Raw genomic sequence first — 9,135 nt, forward strand, 5'->3', positions numbered from 1 at the left:
AACAAAATATCTCCCTCCCAATTGCATTAGCTGGTCAAATGCAACTGAATATTTCCTTCAGGACTTTGATGAATGGCATCTTTTGTATAACTCCACAGCTCTCAATGCCAACGACACAAACAAACATCCCTCCTTTACCAACATTTAGGAAACTAAATTATAACATGTTTGTCATGAAAGACAAAGCTGTATTTAGTTGTTTTTATCTTCTTGTAAAATTTAATATTCAGATGGTAAAAATATTCATTTACTTGTGAAATATCATACAATAGCTCCTTTATGATCCAGAAATAATTTTATTTCTGAAAACTGTTAAAAGTATAGACTTTCAATCATGTACTCTACATTAATTTAGCAGATATTCAGAGGCCACATACCACATGTCAGGCACTGTTGTAGGCACTGGGGATATGTGATAGAGAATAAAAACAAAAAGAAGATCCCTCTCTTCTTTCTATTTACATTGTAGTGAAGGAAATAAATATAAGCAAGATTAAAATGTGAAAAATATAGTGTTAGTGATACTTGGTAAGGGAAAGATAAAAATGAAGAAGAAAAGAGGGATGAGAAAGAAAGGGCTGAAACTTCAGATACTGGGTGCCCAGGGAAATAAATAATCACATGGGGAAGGTGACTTTTGAATAAAATCCTGGAGGGAATGAGGGAATATGTCAGGTAGATATCTGGAGAAAGAGCATTCCAGGAAAGAAACAGCAAGTGCAAAGGCCCTGGATAGAAGCCTGCCTGGTGGGTTGAAAAACAGTGATCGGGGGTGGCAGCCAAGATGGCTGAATAGGAACAGCTCCGGTCTACAGCTCCCAGCATGAGCGATGCAGAAGACGGGAGATTTCTGCATTTCCATCTGAGGTACTGGGTTCATCTCACTAGGGAGTGCCAGACAGTGGGTGCAGGTCAGTGGGTGCAGTGCACCGTGCACGAGCCAAAGCAGGGTGAGGCATTGCCTCACTCAGGAAGCACAAGGGGTCAGGGAGTTCCCTTTCCTAGTCAAAGAAAAGGGTGACAGACAGCACCTGGAAAATCAGGTCACTCCCACCCTAATACTGCGCTTTTCTGACGGGCTTAAAAAACTGCGCACCAGGAGATTATATCCCGCACCTGGCTGGGAGGGTCCTACGACCAGGGAGTCTCTCTGATTGCTAGCACAGCAGTCTGAGATCAAACTGCAAGGTGGCAGCAAGGCTGGGGGAGGGGCGCCCGCCATTGCCCAGGCTTGCTTAGGTAAACAAAGCAGCGGGGAATCTCGAACTGGGTAGAGCCCACCACAGCTCAAGGAGGCCTGCCTGCCTCTGTAGGCTCCACCTCTGGGGGCAGGGCACAGACAAACAAAAAGACAGCAGTAACCTCTGCAGACTTAAATGTCCCTGTCTGACAGCTTTGAAGAGAGCAGTGGTTCTCCCAGCACGCAGCTGGAGATCTGAGAACGGGCAGACTGCCTCCTCAAGTGGGTCCCTGACCCCTGACCCCTGAGCAGGCTAACTGGGAGGCACCCCCTAGTAGGGGCAGACTGACACCTCACACGGCTGGGTACTCCTCTAAGACAAAACTTCCAGAGGAACGATCAGACAGCAGCATTTGCAGTTCACGAAAATCCGCTGTTCTGCAGCCACTGCTGCTGATACCCAGGCAAACGGTCTGGAGTGGACCTCTAGCAAACTCCAACAGAACTGCAGCTGAGGGTCCTGTCTGTTAGAAGGAAAACTAACAAACAGAAAGGACATCCACACCAAAAACCCATCTGTACATCACCATCATCAAAGACCAAAAGTAGATAAAACCACAAAGATGGGGAAAAAACAGCAGAAAAACTGGAAACCCTAAAAAGTAGGGCACCTCTCCTCCTCCAAAGGAACGCAGTTCCTCACCAGCAAAGGAACAAAGCTGGATGGAGAATGACTTTGACGAGTTGAGAGAAGAAGGCTTCAGACGATCAAACTACTCCGAGCTACAGGAGGAAATTCAAACCAAAGGCAAAGAAGTTAAAAACTTTGAAAAAAATTTACAGGAATATATAACTAGAATAACCAATACAGAGAAGTGCTTAAAGGAGCTGATAGAGCTGAAAGCCAAGGCTTGAGAACTACATGAAGAATGCAGAAGCCTCAGGAACCAATGCGATCAACTGGAAGAAAGGGTATCAGTGATGGAAGATGAAATGAATGAAATGAAGCGAGAAGGGAAGTTTAGAGAAAAAAGAATAAAAAGAAATGAACAAAGCCTCCAAGAAATATGGGACTATGTGAAAAGACCAAATCTACGTCTGATTGGTGTACCTGAAAGTGACGGGGAGAATGGAACCAAGTTGGAAAACACTCTGCAGGATACTATCCAGGAGAACTTCCCCAACCTAGCAAGGCAGGCCAACATTCAAATTCAGGAAATACAGAGAATGCCACAAAGATACTCCTCGAGAAGAGCAACTCCAAGACACATAATTGTCAGATTCACCAAAGTTGAAATGAAGGAAAAAATGTTAAGGGCAGCCAGAGAGAAAGGTCGGTTACCCACAAAGGGAAGCCCATCAGACTAACAGCAGATCTCTCAGCAGAAACTCTACAAGCCAGAAGAGAGTGGGGGCCAATATTCAATATTCTTAAAGAAAAGAATTTTCAACCCAGAATTTCATATCCAGCCAAACTAAGCTTCATAAGTGAAGTGAAATAAAATCCTTTACAGACAAGCAAATGCTGAGAGATTTTGTCACCACCAGGCCTGCCCTAAAAGAGCTCCTGAAGGAAGCGCTAAACATGGAAAGGAACAACCGGTACCAGCCACTGTAAAATCATGACAAAATGTAAAAACCATCGAGACTAGGAAGAAACTGCATCAACTAACGAGAAAAATAACCAGCTAACATCATAATGACAGGATCAAATTGACACATAACAATATTAACTTTAAATGTAAATGGACTAAATGCTCCAATTAAAAGACACAGACTGGCAAATTGGATAAAGAGTCAAGACCCATCAGTGTGCTGTATTCAGGAAACCCATCTCACATGCAGAGACACACATAGGCTCAAAATAAAAGGATGGAGGAAGATCTACCAAGCAAATGGAAAGCAAAAAAAAGCAGGGGTTGCAATCCTAGTCTCTGATAAAACTGACTTTAAACCAACAAAGATCAAAAGAGACGTTACATAATGGTCATTACATAATGGTAGGCCATTATGTAACGGTAAAGAAGGCCATTACATAACGGTAAAGGGATCAATTCAACAAGAAGAGCTAAGTATCCTAAATATATATGCACCCAACACAGGAGCACCCAGATTCATAAAGCAAGTCCTGAGTGACCTACAAAGAGACTTAGACTCCCACACAATAATAATGGGAGACGTTAACACCCCACTGTCAACATTAGACAGATCACCGAGAGAGAAAGTTAACAAGGATACTCAGGAATTGAACTCAGCTCTGCACCAAGCGGACCTAATAGACATCTACAGAACACTCCACCCCAAATCAAAAGAATATACATTCTTTTCAGCACCACACCACACCTATTCCAAAATTGACCACATATTTGGAAGTGAAGCTATCCTCAGCAAATGTAAAAGAAGAGAAATTATAACAAACTGTCTCTCAGACCACAGTGCAATCAAACTAGAACTCAGGTTAAGAAACTCACTCAAAACCACTCAACTACATGGAAACTGAACAACCTGCTCCTGAATGACTACTGGGTACATAACGAAATGTAGGCAGAAATAAAGATGTTCTTTGAAACCAACGAGAACAAAGACACAACATACCAGAATCTCTGGGACACATCCAAAGCAGTGTGTAGAGGGAAATTTATAGCAGTAAATGCCCACAAGAGAAAGCCAGAAAGATCAAAAATTGACACCCTAACATCACAATTAAAAGAACTAGAAAAGCAAGAGCAAACACATTCAAAAGCTAGCAGAAGGCAAGAAATAACTAAAATCAGAGCAGAACTGAAGGAAATAGAGATACAAAAAACCCTTCAAAAAATTAGTGAATCCAGGAGCTGGTGTTTTGAAAGGATCCACAAAATTGATAGACCACTAGCAAGACTAATAAAGAAGAAAAGAGAGAAGAATCAAATAGACACAATAAAAAATGATAAAGGGGATATCACCACTGATCCCACAGAAATACAAACTACCATCAGACAATACTACAAACACCTCTACGCAAATAAACTAGAAAATCTAGAAGAAATGGATAAATTCCTCGACAGATACACCTTCCCAAGACTAAACCAGGAAGAAGTTGAATCTCTGAATAGACCAATAACAGGCTCTGAAATTGGGGCAATAATCAATAGCTTACCAACCAAAAAGAGTCCAGGACCAGATGGATTCACAGCTGAATTCTACCAGAGGTACAAGGAGGAACTGGTACCATTCTTTCTGAAACTATTCCAATCAATAGAAAAAGAGGGAATCCTCCCTAACTCATTTTATGAGGCCAGCATCATTCTGATACCAAAGCCTGGCAGAGACACAACCAAAAAGGAGAATTTTAGACCAATATCCTTGTTGAACATTGATGCAAAAATCCTCAATAAAATACTGGCAAACTGAATCCAGCAGCACATCAAAAAGCTTATCCACCATGATCAAGTGGGCTTCATCCCTAGGATGCAAGGCTGGTTCAATATACACAAATCAATAAATGTAATCCAGCATATAAACACAACCAAACACAAAAACCACATGATTATCTCAATGGATGCAGAAAAGGCCTTTGACAAAATTCAACAACCTTTCATGCTAAAAACTCTCAATAAATTAGGTATTGATGGGACATATTTCAAAATAATAAGAGCTATCTATGACAAACCCACAGCCAATATCATACTGAATGGGCAAAAACTGGAAGCATTCCCTTTGAAAACTGGCACAAGACAGGGATGCCCTCTCTCACCACTCCTATTCAACATAGTGTTGGAAGTTCTGGCCAGGGCAATTAGACAGGAGAAGGAAATAAAGGGTATTCAATTAGGAAAAGAGGAAGTCAAATTGTCCCTCTTTGCAGACGACATGATTGTATATCTAGAAAACCCCATTGTCTCAGCCCAAAATCTCCTTAAGCTGATAGGCAACTTCAGCAAAGTCAGAGGATACAAAATCAATGTACAAAAATCACAAGCATTCTTATACACCAATAACAGACAAACAGAGAACCAAATCATGAGTGAACTCCCATTCACAATTGTTTCAAAGAGAATAAAATACCTAGGAATCCAACTTACAAGGGACGTGAAGGACCTCTTCAAGGAGAACTACAAACCACTGCTCAAGGAAATAAAAGAGGATACAAACAAATGGAAGAACATTCTATGCTCATGGGTAGGAAGAATCAATATCATGAAAATGGCCATACTGCCCAAGGTAATTTATAGATTCAATGCCATCCCCATCAAGCTACCAATGACTTTCTTCATGGAATTGGAAAAAGCTACTTTAAAGTTCATATGGAACCAAAAAAGAGCCCACATCGCCAAGTCAATCCTAAGCCAAAAGAACAAAGCTGGAGGCATCATGCTACCTGACTTCAAACTATACTACAAGGCTACAGTAACCAAAACAGCATGGTACTCGTACCAAAACAGAGATATAGACCAATGGAACAGAACAGAGCCCTCAGAAATAACGCCGCATATCTACAACTATCTGATCTTTGACAAACCTGAGAAAAACAAGCAATGGGGAAAGGATTCCCTATTTAATAAATGGTGCTGGGAAAACTGGCTAGCCATGTGTAGAAAGCTGAAACTGGATCCCTTCCTTATACCTTATACAAAAATTAATTCAAGATGGATTAAAGACTTTAACATTAGACCTAAAACCATAAAAACCCTAGAAGAAAACCTAGGCATTACCATTCAGGACATAGGCATGGGAAAGGACTTCATGTCTAAAACACCAAAAGCAATGGCAACCCAAGCCAAAATTGACAAATGGGATCTCATTAAACTAAAGAGCTTCTGCACAGCAAAAGAAACTACCATCAGAGTGAACAGGAAACCTACAAAATGGGAGAAAATTTTTGCAACCTACTCATCTGACAAATGGCTAATATCCAGAATCTACAATGAACTCAAACAAATTTACGAGAAAAAAAACAAACAACCCCATCAAAAAGTGGGCGAAGGACATGAACATACACTTCTCAAAAGAAGACATTTATGCAGCCAAAAAACACATGAAAAAATGCTCACCATCACTGGCCATCAGAGAAATGCTAATCAAAACCACAGTGAGACACCATCTCACACCAGTTAGAATGGCAATCATTAAAAAGTCAGGAAACAACAGGTACTGGAGAGGATTTGGAGAAATAGGAACACTTTTACACTCTTGGTGGGACTGTAAACTAGTTCAACCATGGTGGAAGTCAGTGTAGCGATTCCTCAGGGATCTAGAACTAGAAATACCATTTGACCCAGCCATCCCATTACTGGGTATATACCCAAAGGACTTTAAATCATGCTGCTATAAAGACACATGCACACGTATGTTTATTGTGGCACTATTCACAATAGCAAAGACTTGGAACCAACCCAAATGTCCAACAATGATAGACTGGATTAAGAAAATGTGGCACATATACACCATGGAATACTATGCAGCCATAAAAAAGGATGAGTTCATGTCCTTTGTAGGGACATGGATGAAATTGGAAATCATCATTCTCAGTAAACTATTGCAAGGACAAAAACCAAACACCGCATGTTCTCACTCATAGGTGGGAATTGAACAATGAGAACACATGGACACAGGAAGGGGAACATCACACTCTGGGGACTGTTTTGGTGTGGGGGGAGGGGGGAGGGATAGCATTAGGAGATATACCTAATGCTAAATGACGAGTTAATGGGTGCAGCACACCAGCATGGCACATGTATACATATGTAACTAACCTGCACATTGTGTACATGTACCCTAAAACTTAAAGTATAATAATAATAAAATAAAATAAAATAAAATAAAATAAAATAAAGAAATACAGTGATCGGACTCTTTGGCTAAAGCAGAGAGAAACAAGAGAGAGTAACAGAAGATGAGGTCAGAAACAGAAAAGAACCTGGAACTTAGATCACACGAGTCCTTATAAAAGTAGGCATGCTGCCTTCCGAGTGAGATCAGAAACCAGTAGTGGAAACACGACGTGATCTAACATGTGTTTTTCAGGATGACTCTGGCTTCTGTATTCAGAATAAACTTCAGGAGAACAGGGCAAGAAGCAGAAAAAATAGTTCGGATGACTATAGCTATAATCTAAGCATGAGATGATGATGGTTGAATTTTTTTAATATATTCAGGCAATCTTTGGTTTGAATATACTGCAGAACAGTAAACATGACTGTACAACTTAATAAATAATCTCATCCTAATAATCAATAGGAATAATTATGATTATTCTACAACCTTTAAAATTTTTCTCAAAACATTAAAAACTCTCTGTCAGTTAAAATGTATAGGGAAATGAAATACTAAAAACTACTAAAACTATTATTTATGAGAACACAGTAAATTGAAACACTAGAAAAAAAATAGTGTTTTATTTCTTTGTAAAAAAAAAATAACAAGAGTGGTTTGAACAGTTCTTGCCTTTTTAAAATTGCCATATAACATACAATAATGAGCAACCTCTTTCCTATATACCTTGGTGAATTATCATACTTCTATCTAAATTTGTGTCAACTTCCAACATTTAATGTTTGTACTTTCAACATCATGAAATACTTCTGAGAGTTTCTTTAATGTGCAGTTAATTTCTCTGTAATTTCCTCTGGGGCATCTTCATCCTTTTTAGCGCAACTACTTTCTTCATTTTTGTTGGTAAGTCCATCTGAATGAAGGAAGTCCTTCTGGCTACAAATCTAGAGTCTCTTGAAGTATGGTAGCACTTACATTCCCATGGATAAGTATTTCTTCTATAACTCCATTTACATTTGATTTGCATTTCACTTCCACCATTATTATCATTTTGGGTTTTTTTTTTTTTGCCACACTTTCATCTTTATGGGTCAATTTCTTCTTTCAATTACACATTTTTGTAAAATGTCATATCTATTTATCACTAAGAGACAAGGAGTCAACACAACTGCACACTTTGCTGGGCATAAGAGATGTGCTATGATGAGTCACTGACAAGCTCTGAAAGAAGTCACATGATTGATCATTGATTATGATGAGCAGCTATTATTTTTGTAGAGATTTACGAACTGAAGAGTTAGTATTACTCAGTTAATATATTGTGGTAACTGAAATTTGAACCATGTTTTTGGTGAACTGGTATTATTTAACTAAACTGTGGTAACTGAAATTCAAGCCTACCAACCACAAAGTGAGGATTCCCTATATTATGAAGACAGAGACAGAGACAACAGGATTTTTTGGAAGGTGGGATGTGGAGTGGAGTACCATGTCACAGATGCAGTTTTACATTTGCTGGTGATATTGATTATCTAATATTGACTGTCCCTCCTGATAGCAAGCTCTGTGAAGGCAAGTACCACACTTATCTTTGTTCACCATTACACAGTTGATGTTGCACTTTTCTAAATAGTGTCTAAGTTTCACAACAACCCCAAGCAGCAGGTATCATCTCATTTTGCAGATGAAGAAACTGAAGCTCAGAGAAGTTAAGTAACTTAACACCATTTCACACAACTAGTGAGTGACAGATTGGGACTCAAATTCATATCTTCTGAAGTCCAATCCTCTTTCCTTTGAACCACCACTCCTCCCTAATAAAAATATAGTCCTATAAAGTTTTGCTCTGGAAACCATAGCACCATGTTTCCTATGCCATAATCAACTATCATATGAAAGCTGTAGAATATAAATGACAGCAGAAATAAGGCAAATACAGTGTATTTGAATCTCCTGTCTGTATAAATATCCTACAAGTTTCCATTTAAATTCTGTTCTTAACCTCATGACAAGGATTTATAAAAAGACAAAATCTGGCAACTACATTGACTGAAGGCCAAAGAGCACATCCTACTCTTCAAGGAATTTCCAATATCTCTGCAAACAATAAGGATGAGTTAAGAAGTACATTCCTGACTTCCTCAGACTTTAATCTGTGAATCAGAACGTTAAGAACAGGTACCTGCAGGGTAGAAACGGTT

The 9,135-nt window shown here is 39.3% G+C and overlaps 1 annotated feature.

The window, feature by feature from the left end:
- Positions 720-1,220: an enhancer, noted in NCBI's record as "H3K4me1 hESC enhancer chr2:67583148-67583648 (GRCh37/hg19 assembly coordinates)". NCBI's record gives its function as "activates a minimal SCP1, AML or CMV promoter by ChIP-STARR-seq in primed H9 embryonic stem cells {active_cell/tissue: H9 hESC(primed)}" and the evidence as "EXISTENCE:reporter gene assay evidence [ECO:0000049][PMID:30033119]".

Source organism: Homo sapiens, chromosome 2 (genome assembly GCF_000001405.40).
Source record: "Homo sapiens chromosome 2, GRCh38.p14 Primary Assembly".
Classification (NCBI taxonomy): Eukaryota; Metazoa; Chordata; class Mammalia; order Primates; family Hominidae; genus Homo; species Homo sapiens.